Source organism: Homo sapiens, chromosome 1 (genome assembly GCF_000001405.40).
Source record: "Homo sapiens chromosome 1, GRCh38.p14 Primary Assembly".
Lineage (NCBI taxonomy): Eukaryota > Metazoa > Chordata > Mammalia > Primates > Hominidae > Homo > Homo sapiens.
Genome location: NC_000001.11, coordinates 227579048 through 227594192, shown reverse-complemented (window position 1 = coordinate 227594192; position 15145 = coordinate 227579048). Strand labels below are relative to the sequence as shown.

Below are 15145 nucleotides of genomic sequence, written 5' to 3'. Positions count from 1 at the left end.
CTAATAAAAATAGGTGCTAAAGGAATTTTCTCAGTAAAAAGGCACTTAGGACTATGAAGTCCACTGCCAAGGTCCCCACATTTAAAACAAAAGGTCAATTTCTTTAAAATTATATACTTCATTTATCTTCCACTTTCCTTTCCCTCAAAAACTCAGTCTTTTAGCACATGTACCACCCCTAGAATTTCCGGCAAATCAGCACCAGTTTGAAGATCACGTTCTCATCAAAGGGTGGAAAGAAGAAAAACTTGAGCCAGCCTGGAAGTACCCTACCTTGTGCTGCTAACCACCAAGACTGCTGTTCGTACATCAAAAAAAAAAAAAAGGGGGGGGGGGGATGGACTCATAACACCAGAGTCAAGAAAGCACCACCCCATCCAGAGTTGTGGGCCATGGTCCCAGGGGAAAACCCTACCAAAGCTAAGAAAAATGTAACTCTTTTCATCTATTCTATTACTCTTTCTTCTTTCCTCATTCTATTGCTGACCATCTAGTTATTAACATAACCATGTTAATTTCACCTCAAACTATTGCATTTAATGCTTGCCTTGTTATACCCTGTGGAGACTTGCAAGTCAAAGACAGCTTTCTACTTCAGAAAAGTACTTCTGTCCCTCCTGACCCTCCTCAGACTGGGCATTAGTAAACTAGGACCATTAATCCAGGGAGATTTCGATAAAGACCCCAGTGCCAACCAGGAGTCTTGCCCCCCAATGTAGAGCTTTCATGCCATAGCTGGTCCAACATTCTGTGGACCACTAAAGGGCAAGGATGGACTGCCCCAACCGGTTTTTGTAATTTCCTAAAATCATACCTTCATTTTACTAGAGGGTCATCGAAGTTAAAGACTTAAAACAAACTTTAGCAATAAAGACAGGATACCAAGATGCAAATGCCTGGTTAAAATGGATCAAATAATCCATCTGCACATTAAACAAAGGCAATTGTTATACTTGTGCACATGGCAGGCCAGAGGCCCAAACTGTCCCCCTTCCACTAATGTGGTCCTCCAGTAGACCAGGCGTAGGCTGCATGGTAGCTCTTTTCCAGGATTCTACAGCCTGGAGTAGTAAGTCATGCCAAGCTCTCTCTGCCATATCCTGAAGTCCGGCACCCTGCGGGTCAGCCCCCAAGGGCCATCCAGCTTCCGTCTCCCAACACTAAGTTCACTTTGTGTCTCTCACGACAAGGAGAAAACTTACCATTCCTTGGAGACCTGAAGGGATGTGATGAGCTTAAGAATTTTCAAGAGCTTATGAATCAGTCAGCCCTTGTTCATCCCCGAGTGGATGTGTGGTGGTACTGTGGTGGACCTTTACTGGGCACTCTGCCGAATAACTGGAGTGGCACTTGTGCTTTAGTCCATTTGGCTATCCCTTTCACCCTGGCATTTCATCAACCAGAGGGAGAAGAAATAAGACATCGTAAAGCAAGAGAAGCCCCTTATAGGTCTTTCAACTCTCACATCTATTTAGATGCAACTGGAGCCCCGCAAGGAATACCAGATCAATTTAAAGCTTGAAATCAAATACCTACAGGATTTAAGTCAATATTTTAGTGGGTGACAGTTAATAAAAATGTAGATTAGATAAACTACATCTATTACAACCAACAGCAACAAGCTTTTCATGAGTTAAAGAAAAACTCATGTCGGCCCCAGCCCTGGGGCTTCCTGACCTGACAAATCCCTTTACACCCTATGTGTCAGAAAAAGAAAAATGGCAGTTGAAGTTTTAACCCAGACTGTAGGGCCCTGGCCAAGGCCAGTGGCCTATCTCTCAAAACAACTAGATGGGGTTTCCAAAGTCTGGCCCCCATGTCTAAGGGCCCTGGCAGCAATGGCCCTGTTAGCACAAGAAGCAGATAAGCTAACTCTTAGGCAAAACCTAAACCTAAAATCCCCCCATGCTGTGGTGACTTTAATAAATACCAAAGGACATCATTAGCTGACAAATGCTAGACTAACTAGATACCAAAGCTTGCTCTGTGAAAATCCCCGCATAACCACTGAAGTTTACAACACCCTAAACCCCGCCACCTTGCTCCCGGTATCAGAGAGCCCAGTTGAACATAACTATGTAGAGGTATTGGACTCAGTTTATTCTAGTGGGCCCAACCTCTGAGACCATCCTTAAACATCCAGTAGACTGGGAGCTGTACGTGGATGGGAGCAGCTTTGCAAACCCCTGCAAAGTGACTCTGAAGAAGACAAGCCCTCCTCCAGTCACACGCGGAAACTGACTGGTCCACGCACGGCTGAAGCATGAGGAAACTCATCGCGGGACTCATTTTCCTTAAAATTTGGACTTGTACAGTAAGGACTTCAACTGACCTTCCTCAGACTGAGGGCTGTTCGCAGTGTATACATCAAGTCACTGAGGTAGGAGAAAAGGTTGCTATGGTCCTATTATTTTATGGTTATTATAAGTGTACTGGAACTCTAAAAAGAACTTGTTTGTACAATGTTATTCTATACAAGGTATTTAGCCCAGGAAATGACCAACCTGATGTGTGTTATGACCCATCTGAGCCTCCCATGACCACAGTTTTTAAAATAAGATTAAGAACTGAAGACTGGTGGGGGCTCATAAATGATACGAGTAAAGTGTGAGCCAAAACAGAAAAAAAAGAGGTGCCCAAACAAGTCACCTTAAAATTTGATGCCTGTGCTGTCATTAATAAGTTAAAAATAGGATGTGGTTCTCTTAATTAGGAAAGAGGCTATATGGCAGAAAATAAGTACATTTATCATGAATTAGGACTGTGTGAAAATAAATGTAGATACTGGTCTTGTGTCATTTAGGCTACTTAAATTTAAAAAAATGAAAAAAATCCTGTCTACCTTCAGCAAGGGAAAAGTGGCCCTTCCTGTACCAGTGGTCAGTGTAACCCCTTAGAACTAGTAATAACCCTTAATCCTCGTTAGAAAAAAGGGGAACGTGTAACCCTAAAAATTGATAGAGCTGGACTGGATCTTCAAGTAAATATCGTGGTTTGAGAAAAAGTTTATAAACGCTCTCCTGAGCCAGTATTTCAAACCTTCTACAATAAACTAAATGTGCCAGTACCAAAAATTCCAAGAAAAACAAGAAATTTGTTTTTGCAATTAGCCGAGCATGTAGCGCAGTCTCTCAATGTCACTTCATGTTATGTATGTGGAGGAACTGTAATAGGAGATCAATGGCCATAGGAAGCCCGAGAATTAGTACCTACAGACCCAGTTCCTGAATGAATTCCCGGCCCAAAAGAATCACCCTGATCACTTCTAGGTCCTAAAAGCCTCAATGATTAGGCAATACTGTATAGCAAGAGTGGGGAAGGAGTTCACCCTTCCTGTAGGAAGACCACATGGTGGAGTTCAAACGACACAGAGTAAATTTCCAAAGCTGCAGACCATTTAGGCCTACCCAGAATTCCACTGGGACTGGACGGCCCCCACCGGGCTATAATGGATATGTGGACATAGAGCCTACACTAAGCTGCCTGATCAGTGGACAGGTAGTTGTGTTATTGGCACTATTAAACCATCTTTCTTCCTACTGCCCATAAAAACAGGCGAACTCCTGGGCTTCCCTGTCTATGCTTCCTGCGAAAAGAGAAGCATAGCCATAGATAATTAAAAAGATGATAAACGGCCTCCTGAAAAAATTATACAATACTATGGGCCTGCCGCTTGGGCACAAGACGGCTCGTGGGGATACCCAACCCCCATTAACATGCTCAACCAAATCATGTAGTTGCTGTCTTGGAGATTATCACTAATAAAACTGGTAAAACCTTGACTGTTCTGGCCCGGCAAGAAACTCAGATGAGAAATGTTATCTATCAAAATAAACTGACTCTCGACTACTTGCTAGCAGCTGAAAGAGAAGTCTGTAGAAAATTTAACCTTACCAACTGCTGCCTGCACATAGATGATCAGGGGCAAGTAGTCGAAGATACAGTTAAAGACATGATGAAACTGGCAAGTGCCTGTACAAGTGTGGCACGGATTTGACCCTGAGGCCATGTTTAAAAATGGTTCCCAGTGCTAGGAGGATTTAAAACTCTTATAATAAAAATTATAGTAGTAATAGGAACCTGCTTACTGATCCCTTATTTACTACCTGCACTCATTCAAATGGTAAAAGGTTTCATCGCTACTCTAGTTCACCAGAATGCTTCAGCAGAAGTGTATTACAATAAATCACTATCTGTCATGCAGGGAGACACAGATGGTAAAGATAAAAGTGAGAACTCCCACTAATAAAATGAGTGAGAGTCTCAAAGTGGGGGAATAAAGGAGGAGACTGCCCCTCATATTGTCTTATGCCCAATTTCTGCTTCCAAAGAAAGAAGAAGTAAAAACTAAAAGGCAGAAATGAAATCCACAGGCAGAAAGCCCGGCCCCGTGCTCTGGGCGTGATAGTTAAAGATCGACCCCTGACCTAACCTGTTATGTTATCTATAGATTCCAGACATTGTATGGAAGAGCATTGTAAAAATCCCTGTCCTGTTATGTTTCGTTCTGATTACTGGTGCATGCAGTCCCCAGTCATGCACCCCCTGCTTGCTCAATTGATCACAGCCCTCTCACGTGGACCCCCTTAGAGTTGTGAGCCCTTAAAAGGGACAGGAATTGCTCACTCGGGGAGCTTGGCTCTTGAGACAGGAGTCTTGCCAATGCTCCCAGCTGAATAAACCTCTTCCTTCTTTAACTCAGTGTCTGAGGAGTTTTGTCTGCAGCTCGTCCTGCTACACAGCCATTTGATCCTCGACAAACCTAACAAAATCAAGCAATTGGGAAAAGATTCCCTATTTAATAAATGGGGCTAAGATAACTGGCTAGCCATATGCAGAAAGTTGAAACTGGATCCCTTCCTTATACCATACACAAAAATTAACTCAAGATGGATTAAAGACTTTTACATTTGTAAAACCCAAAACTATAAAAACCCTAGAAGAAAATCTAGGTAGTACCATTCAGCACATAGGCACAGGCAAAGTTTTCATGATGAAAATGCCAAAAGCAATTGCAACAAAAGCAAAAATTGGCAAATGGGATCTAATTAAACTAAAGAGCTTCTGCACGGCAAAAGAAATGATCATCAGAGTGAACAGACAACCTACAGAATGGGAGAAAATTTTTGAAATCTATCCATCTGACAAAGGTCCAATATTCAGAGTCTACAAGGAATGTAAACAAATCTACAAGAAAAAAACAACCCTATTAAAAAGTGGGCAAAGGACATGAACAGACACTTCTCAAAAGAAGACATACATGCAGCCAATAAACATATGAAAAAAAAAAAAGCTTAACATCACTGATCATGAGAAAAATGCAAATGAAAACCACAGTGAGATACCATCTCATGCCAATCAAAATGGCTATTAAAAAGTCAAAAAACAGTCTGGGGGCAGTGGCTTACACCTGTAATCCCAGCACTTTGGGAGGCCGAGGCAGGTGGATCACTTGAGGCCAGGAGTTCAAGACCAGCCTGGCCAACAAGTGAAACCTTGCCTCTATTAAAAAATAGAAAAAAATAGCTGGGCATGGTGGTGCATGCCACCATGTAATCCCAGCTACTCAGGAGGTTGAGGCATGAAAATCACTTGAACACAGGAGGTGGAGGTTGCATTGAGTTGACATCATGCCATTATATTCCAGCCTGGTGACAGAGTGAGACTGTGTTTCCAAAAAAAAAAAGTAAAAAAAACAACAGATGCTGGTGAGGTTGTGGAGAAAAAGAAGCACTTTTACACTGTTGGTGGGAGTGTAATTAGTTCAACCATTGTGGAATACAGTGTGGCGATTCCTCAAAGACCCAGGGGCAGAAATACCACTTGACTCAACAATCCCATTACCAGATGTACACCCAAAAGAATATAAATCATTCTTTTATAAAGATACATGCACATGTATGTTCACTGTAGTACTATTTACAATAGCAAAGTCATAGAATCAACCTAAATGCCCATCAATGATAGACTGGATAAAGAAAATATAGTACATGCACACCATGGAATACTATGCAGCCATAAAAAGGAATGAGATCATGTCCTTTGCAGGGACACGGATGGAGTTGGAAACCATTATTCTCAGCAAACTAATGTAGAAACAGAAAACCAAACATTGCAGGTTCTCACTTATAAGTGGGAGCTAATTGATGAGAAAACATGAACATGTTGGGGGAACAACACACACTGGGCACCTGTTGGGGGGCTGGGGGGAGGGAAAACATCAGAAAGAATAGCTAATGGATGCTGGGCTTAATACCTAAGTGATGGGATGATCTGTGCAGTAAACCACTATGGCACACATCTATGCAACAAACCTACACATCCTGCACATGTACCCCTGAATTTTTTTTAAAGTCTTGAAAAAAAAAAAAAAAAAGGAAAGGGTGAATTTCAGGGTTTCCACAGTGGCTAAAATGTAGAGAGATGTTCCAGATAAGAAGGCATGGAGGAGAAGCTCCAAATTTTACCCATAACTTCCCCTAACATCTTTGGCTGCATCATGCACTTTGTAAATGCAGTGATGATACCCAAAATTTCAGGAGTCTGCAGCAGTTTAGAAGGTGTAAGAACTGACAGGCTACTGCTTAATGCAGGAAATACAAGATAAAATGGATTTAAATATCTCAAAATGTTCTTGACACACCAAAAGTTGAAACTTTTGGTTCTAGACAAGATAGGATAAGCAAACTCTATTCTATTCTCAAAAATTATAGCAATGGGCTTGTAAAAACTTATAAAGCATCAGTCTAAAGACTCTGAAAGTACAGAAAAGAAGGCAGACTAACTTGGAACAGCAGGAGTGGTTTAACGGCTACTGCCCTGGGTATGTCTTTTGTTTTGTTTTGTTTTGTTTTGTTTTGCCTCCTATATATCCTGGTTCAGTAGCAGAGAACACAGTAACCTGGAAAAGGCAACTGAAAAAGAATTAAAAAAAAAAAAAATCTAACATGCTCTCTCTAGCCAAAGAAGCATGGGATAAAGATGGCCTATGCAGAAAGTGATTACTTGACGACACTTTTTCATATTCTGGCAAACATCACACACAAGTAAGACATAACACTTCTCTTTCCACAGTGCTAGTGTTACAAAAACTAGGAGCAGAACTCTTTCATCCTCACCCTGCAATATTGAGGCCTAGCTTCTCCCAACCCAAATTGAATTGAATGCACTGTTAAAGCAAATACTGAACAGGGCTCTGTCTTCCATTCTCATCCTGCCATTTAGGTGCAGCCTATCACCCCACCCCCATGGGCTTTGCATTCAGGGAGACTGTAAGTGGAGCTCTCCCTTACATTCCTGCCCCACAGTAATTAGGGAATGCTTTGTTTCATCTACCTCCTGATCACCACCTTGATGAGGGAAAAATTGCCTATTAGGGTTAAGAATATGACCAAACACATGATGCCTGGCACTGGTAAAACTGACTTTAGCTTATTAACTACATATTCTCACATGCCAAGGAAGAAACACCTTGGACACCACACAGAATCACAGAGGGAGTGGTGCTTGCAAGCAGAGTTTAAATGTTGGTGATAATCAGAGATTTTGAAAGTTTTGTTTCTAAACTTCTGCCTTACCTTTTTCTTTTGTGCTTACTTTTTAGCAGACTCTTAGTTACTTATTTTTAAGTTTATCAATTCGTTTATCTGCTTGCTCAAGTGCTCCGTTAAAGCCCTCTAGTAAATTTTTTATTTCAGTTAGGATACTTTTGTTCTAGAATTTCTATTTGGTTGACTTTTTTAAAATCCCTATTTGTTTAGTGATATATTCTATTTGGTGGAACATTGTTTTACTCACTTGCTTTACTTTTTGTTCATTTTTCTTTAGGCTTTTAAAACATGCTTATGAAAGTTGATTTAAAGGCTTAGTTTAATAAATATTACGTCTGTGCTTCCTAAGACAGTTTCTGTTAATTCATTAGTATTTTCCTGTGAATAATATTTTGTTGTTCATTTGAATGACTAATTATTTTTTTATTTGCTTATTTATTTTATTTTTTGGAGATGGGGTCTTCCTATGTTGCCCAGTCTGCAGTACAGTGGTTATTCACAGACTCAATCATAGGGCACTGAAATGCCTAGGCTTAAACAATTCTTCCATCTCAGCCTCCTGAGTTATCTGGGACCTGTAGCGCAAATCATCTTGCCTGGCTCATCATTTTTTATTGCTGAAAAGTGGACATGTTGAATACCATACTGTAGTAAATCTGGAAATCAAATTCTCCTCCCTCCCTAGGCTTTGTGGCTGTTTGCTGTGAGTTGTGGTAACTTATTTAGTGATCATTTCTGTTTATTTTTAAAGCTCTATTCTTTGTCTTAAGTGGTCACTGAAACCTATGTTTCATTAGTTGTTGGCTCTAGATTTGAGAGAGGATTTTTTAAACGTCTAGAGAATACACATTTTTGTTTTTTTTTGGGGGGACTGAATCTCACTCTGTCACCAGGCTGGAGTGCAGTGGTGTGATCTCAGCTCACTGCAACCACCAACCACCTCCCAGGTTCAAGCGATTCTCTTGCCTCAGCCTCCTGAGTAGCTAGGACTAAAGGCATGTGCCACCACATCCAGCTAATTTTTGAATTTTTAGTAGAGACGGGGTTTCAACATGTTGGCCAGTATGGTCTCGATCTCTTGACCTCGTGATCTGCCCACCTCAGCTTCCCAAAGTGCTGGGATTACAGGTGTGTGCCACCGTGCCCGGCCAAGATCTTTAAGCATTTTGTTTTCTATTTCTAACATTTTCTGTTTAATGTATACTTTCTCAGTTTGCCTGATTTCTCCACAAAATTAATTTATATATTCACTTATTAGCCATTTAAGGTTCATAGATATGTATTACTTTAATTCGTTTCCTACTTAATTGGGACTAAATTTACCCAAAGATACCTGTGTTTTCAGCTATGCTACCTTTGGCACCTCCAATAGTTTTGCTCCACTGACCATGCATAATTCAGCTCAGATGTCCACGAGCCCATGTTTAACATAACAGATCTAGACAGAAAACGATTAACTGGCCATCTCCTTGTCATGGATGCAGGCTCTGTCTCCTTTTCTCATCTTCTACTACTCTACAGTCTTAAATCACATTTTCAAGTAAAACATAATAGAAAAAATTTGTCTCTTCTTTATCAAGCAAGTAATTCAAATTCTAGGTCCTAGTTTCAAGTCTCTCTCAGAGTGACTCCTGTTCTGTTATTGCTGTTGTCAGACTTCTGTACCTTACTCTAGGCCCATCTATAAACTTTCTTGTAAAATTCAGTTGTAGCAAATTACCTTGAAAAGTCAGTTTAGCAAGAACACTTCATCCTTAATATCTGATCAGCCTCAATGTTTCATAAGGTTTCTCACTGTCCGCCATCGCACAAGTCTGATCACCCTGGCTGTCCCCAGCAAGAATTGGTTTGGTCACTTTAACCAGAATACCCCTCATCCTTGTTTCCTCTTAGTAAGTTTTCACCCATCAACCCTTAGCCTGCTCCTTGCCTATAAGTTCTTACTTATCCATACTGTCTGTATTTAGAGTTGAGCACAATCTTTCTCCCCAACTACAAAATCTTACTGCAGTGGTGTCTATACCCATCTTATTATTCTGAATAAAGTGTTTCTCATTATGCTTTAACAAGTATCATGGAATATTTTTTAACATGTTTGACATGTAATTTGTAAATAGTGTTCCTCACACATGGACAGCCAAAAGTGATCAGCCTTAGCTGGAGATAGAGCAAGGTAAATACCTAGCTGTAGTTTTTTTCAGAATTCTCAGTTGTTAGCTCATCTCAATTAATAGTCATATTTGCTTATTTATGCATATTTTAAATATTAATGGTTTGAGAGGAGAGTGGATAAACGGTTCGTTTAAGGAAGTTCTTGTATCACCAAGGTAGTCATTAATTTTCCTATTTAAGCCTTGAACATTTTCATGCCTGAGAACAGGTACCTGGAAATCATGTATTCATTCAACAGTGAGCTGTTGACTGCTTTAGGCCTTGTGACAAATGAACAAATAATTCAATATAAAATATCCTGCCCCAATGACAGTATAAAGCTCTGCAACAAAATGTTAATTCAATTGGTGTGGACTTCCCCAACAATGTACATTTTAAAGGTCTTCAGAACTGGCTCTAGACTTGCCCCTAGAAGGTAACCTCCACAACCTTGGAAAATTCTACCTGATAAGAAAGATTGTCTTAGCTCACTTGAGGTCTTGGGCAGCAACAGATATATGATTCTAACCATATAAGTGGAAGTGAATCTCTTGTTTTTGGATGCATGGGTCTCTGGGCCATGCTGTATTAGTTTGATCTCTACAGTAGAAATGGTGATTGAGTAGCTAGAGCCAATCATGTGCCCAATGCATGCCTATGCAATTGAATCCCAACAAAATACTTTGGACACCAAGACTCTGGTTGGTTTCTCTACTTGGCAAAACTTTGCACATGTCACATTATGACTGGGAAAATTATGTACTGCTTGTGTGACTCCACTGTGACAGGACAACTGGAGGCATGCACTTGGTCTCCTTTGAAAGCTTTCCTACCTCCTATTTTTTTTTCCCTAAATATAATCTGTATCTTTTCTATTTAATAAATTGTAGCCATAAATGTAACAGTTTTTCTAAGTGTTTTTAGTTTTTCTAATGAGTCATCAATTCTGACAGTGGTCAAGGAACTCCTGACAAAGTTAAATCAAAAGTGGAATTGCCTGTAATCCCAGCTACTTGGGAGGCCAAGGTATGAGAATTGCTTGAACCTGGGAGGTGGACGTTGCAGGGAGCTGTGATTGTGCCACTGCACTCCAGCCTGGGCGACAAGGCAAGACTCTGTCTCAAAAAAAAAAAAAAAAAGAAAAAAGAAAAAAAAAGAAATTTTCTAAAATGGACTTATTGAATTGTTGCAAAGTTATCATTATAGAAAAGGAAGAATTAATAGTAGGGGTTCATAAATATAATATTTGTTGCCTGGATGTCTACTGAATCATACATGGAATAAGACATCAGGTATGCTGTGAACAGTTATTAGATGTAAAGGTTACCAATAGAACTTAGAAATAATAGACCCAACGGATCTATTATTTCTAAGGAGTCAGAGCAACGGATACATAATAAGTAAAATAAATAAAAACAAGTGTTTAAAAATCTTAACAGGGAGGCTATTATAGTGGCAGTTCCAGTGCTTTAGGTTTCTAAGTAAGAAAGCCAGAATGCAATATAAACAGAACAAACAAAACTAGGGACTTTACCTATCAGAAATTGCCAATTAACCTTCAACTAAAATATAATCCTTTTAAGAACTACTTTTACAAAATATATATGACCAACTTATTAATGACAAAGTTGACAGTGCAGTAAGTAAATAATGTCTTATACTGGCACTAGTGGTGCCAAGCCTATTAGACATTCACACACACACACAGAAAAGATCTTGATTCTTATCTCAGGCCACACACATAAATTGATTATAGATGACTGTAGCTCTGAATGCAAAAGTTAAAATTATAAAGCTCTTAGAAGAAAACATAAGAGTGACATATGTATTATAATTGGCAAAACTTTTAAAAATAGAAACCAGGACCAGGTGTGGTGTCTCATACCTGTAATCTAAGAACTTTGGGAGGATTAGGCAGAAGAATCACTTGAGGGAAGGAGTTCAAGACCAGCCTGGGCAACATAGTGAGAATGCGTCTCTACAAAAAAAAAAAAAAAAAAAAAATTAGCTGGGCAAGTGGCATGCCCCTGTGGTCCTAGCTACCTGGGAAGCTGAGATGGAAGGATTGAAGGATTGCTTAAGTCCAGAAGTTTGCGGCTACAGTCAGCTATGACAATGTCAATGCACTTCACCAAGGGTGACAGAGTAAAACCTATCTCATACACACATATATACATATATAATAACAAATTAATTAACAAAAATAACCAGAAAAAAAGAAAAATTGATGTGACTACATTCAATTTAAGAAATTATTATCAAAATTAAGAAAATAAAAAACTAGAGTGGAAGAAGATATTCGTGTGTGTGTGTGTGCGTGTGTATATATCTGACAATATACTTGTATCCAGAATGTATAGAGTATTTGCAAATTAATAAGAAAAAGGTAGACAATGCAATATAACAATGCAAAAGTCTTAAACTGATACTTAAGAAAAATTACCTTCAGATGGCCATTAAACATATAAAATGACATCAACTTTATTAGTTATCAAGGAAATGCAAATTATATCTCAATGCAGTTCAGTTACATAGCCACCAAAATAATTAACATGAAAAAAGAAAACATACGAAATGTTTGCCAAGGTGTACAACAAATGAAACTCTCATGCGCTGCTGGTGGAAATGTAAATTGTAAGGACCACATTAGAAAACCATTTGGCAGTATATACTAAAGCTGAACATACGCATAACCTATAATCTAGCACTTTTTCTAGGTCTCTAGCATACAGCAATGTGACTACCTTGGCAACAAAGACATGCACTAAAAAGTTCAAAGCAAGAGTATTCATAATAGTCCCAAACTAGACACAATCGAAATTTTATCAACAATACAAGTTGATTTTATACAATGGAATACAATACAGCAATAAGTATAGATAGATTAGATTATGGATGAAAAAGAAGCAATGCGCCACTAAGAATGTTGAGTGAACGAAGCCAATCATAAAGAGTACACATTTTATGACCATAAAGTTCATAAATAGACAAAACTACTTAATGGTTTTAGAAATCAGGGTAATGTTTGCACTTGGTGGATAGGCAGAAACTACAAGAGGGCATCTAGATTTCTAGTAATCCATGCTTCCTTTAATTTTTCCTTTCTTTCTTTTCCTCTCTTCCTTCCTTCCTTCTTTTCTTTCTTTATTCCTCTTTTTAATGCTCTCCTTCTTGAACTGAGGGCTAGTTACCTAGGTATGTTGCAGAATTTTCTAACATTTATCAAGCTATATACTTATAACTTATGTATATTTATATATGTATAATATACTTCAATATAATTTTAATGACAAGCCCTAATACTTTTCTTAGCAATTGACAGGATACAAATTATAAATAAATATAAGGATTTTATATTTCTAAGAAACCATACTACATTTTCTATTCTTTTTCCTCCTTTTCTTCATATTTATTAAACCTTTTTCATTTCAGCATTCATATTGAAGACTTTGAAAATTATCCAGTGAAAATTGTACATGACCTTTATATAGAAGTCCATACTCTAAATGTATCACTCTTGCAATATTAATTTATCAATTTTCTGTGGTAAAATTTTTTTTTTTTTTTGAGAGGGAGTTTCGTTCTTGAGGCTGGAGTGCAAAGGCGGGATCTCAGCTCACTGCAACCTCCGCTTCCCAAGTTCAAGCAATTCTCCTGCCTCAGCCTCCCAAGTAGCTGGGATTACAGACATGCACCACCACGCCTGGCTAATTCTGTATTTTTAGTAGAGACGGGTATTTTTAGTAGTTGGTCAGGCTGGTCTAGAACTCCCGACCTCAGATGATCCGCCTGCCTTGGCCTCCCAAAGTGCTGAGATTACAGGCATTAGCCACCGTGCCTGGCCTTTTGTGGTAATTTTTGGCCAAAATAGACTTAGAAGTTAGATAAATTATCATGTACTTTCATTCCTCATAAAAGAATGATGTTAATGTTCTTGACAGAAAGACTAGAGACTCAAGGAAGCCCTTAGTTTCATAAAGGCATCAAAAGTAATGAAAACAAAAATTCACTGTGTATCAGGACATTAACAGCTTTTCCAGAAATATGGATATAATTTCTGTCAAAAATATTTAGGTTTGAATAACTTCAATTTTATATCATTTGCTTTAGTATTAAAGGTGAAAGTATGACTAATGAAAGTCAATTTTGCTTTATTTTAAAAAGCAGCAGGGGAGGGCAAGATAGCCAACTAGATGCAGCCAGGTAGAACAGCTCTCACAGAGGGACTGAGATGACAGGTATGCTTTTAACAGATCTTCAGAGGAAAGGCGCTGAGAGTGGACAGAGGGAAGACACAGAAGCTGGTCTGAAGCAGCAGAAAGCTGGAAACAATGCATGGGGCTACTGTACACCGGGACTCATTTTTGGACCACAATAGCTCCAGGAGAACAAGTTGAACTGTCAAGAAGCAATCCACTCTCACAGGCCTCTGGAACCCCGAGCAGGAAGAGACCCCTCGACCACCAGAGACACTTGAGTTAGCAGGGAGAGCTGCTGTCCCTTAGAGCTGCAACCCCTACTTGGTAGAGATAGCAAGCCAGCTGATGCAGAGCCCAAAGGGTTTGATAAAGAAGCATCTGTAGTGAAGTGTGGACTTGGCCAACCATCCCCACAGGCTCAACTTGCTCCAGTAGGAGACTTTAGCAGCCCAGGGGAACTGTCAGATCTGATCTCCACAGGGCTGTCTTGCCTATCAGATGGCGCTGGTCTGACCTGAGCATCCCTTGGTCTGCTGGCCTGTCCTGGGGCCCCAGCCTGGCCATGTCTGCTTGCAGGGCAGTCTTGGGTGTCCTGGGGGCCCACACTGTAGCTTTTGCACTGATGCACTATGCCCGACTGGTGAAGACCTCCAGCGAGATGACCCCTATGACCATGCACAAGCCTGTCTGTTCCCTCCCCATACTGCAGCTTCCCCCAGGGCCATGGTAACTTCCCACATCACTTTGCTGGTGCATGTCTATATGGGCAGGTTTTACTTTAATTGTCCACCTGTGCTGGTGGACCCCCCCACCAACCACCATTGCAGATTCAGCCTTGGCAGGCACAGAGCCAGCAAGCCCTACCCACACTAGCACCCCACCCTTGCACTAACACTGCACAGAGAACAGTGGGTCTTCCCCTGAGCAACACTCCTGAGCAATCTGTGCTTGTAGGGCACAGATTAAGCACCCAGACCTGCACCACTAGCACCCTGGCCCTAAGCCAACACCACCTCCAGCACAATGGCACACACACTCTGCAACAGGGACTCCCACCACTCCTAACCCCAGCTGTATTGCCTTCACCATTCCAATGAACGCCTGTAGCATGGCAAGCACCCCAGCACCCACTAGCACTCTGCTGCAGCTGCTGCACCTCACCCCCCACCATATATACAGTGCAGTGGATTCCAAACCTCCAGGAGCCAGAAAACAAACAAGGTTCAATACAAGTCTCCCAGAGAG

General features: G+C 40.2%; 1 protein-coding gene across 5 annotated transcripts in view, besides 1 other annotated feature; it reads right to left on the bottom strand.

Annotated features, from left to right (window-relative positions):
* Positions 1 to 15145, bottom strand: part of ZNF678 (zinc finger protein 678) — a 116114-nt gene that overhangs the window by 85477 nt on the left and 15492 nt on the right. For 3 of the 5 annotated variants that reach the window (NR_102302.2, NM_001367910.1, NM_178549.4), the window contains exon 2: positions 11587 to 11679. The exons of the other annotated variants lie outside the window; for them this stretch is intronic. Coding sequence is in view for 1 of the 3 variants with exons in the window: in NM_178549.4 (NP_848644.2) it covers positions 11587 to 11679 (93 nt within the window). In the remaining 2 variants the exon portion in view is untranslated. The remainder of the gene's footprint in view (positions 1 to 11586; positions 11680 to 15145) is intronic. 5 annotated transcript variants of the gene reach the window in all.
* Positions 14235 to 14483: a silencer, noted in NCBI's record as "fragment chr1:227767411-227767659 (GRCh37/hg19 assembly coordinates)". NCBI's record gives its function as "represses an EF-1alpha promoter that drives an FKBP-Casp9 reporter gene in an ReSE screen in HepG2 liver carcinoma cells {active_cell/tissue: HepG2}" and the evidence as "EXISTENCE:reporter gene assay evidence [ECO:0000049][PMID:32094911]".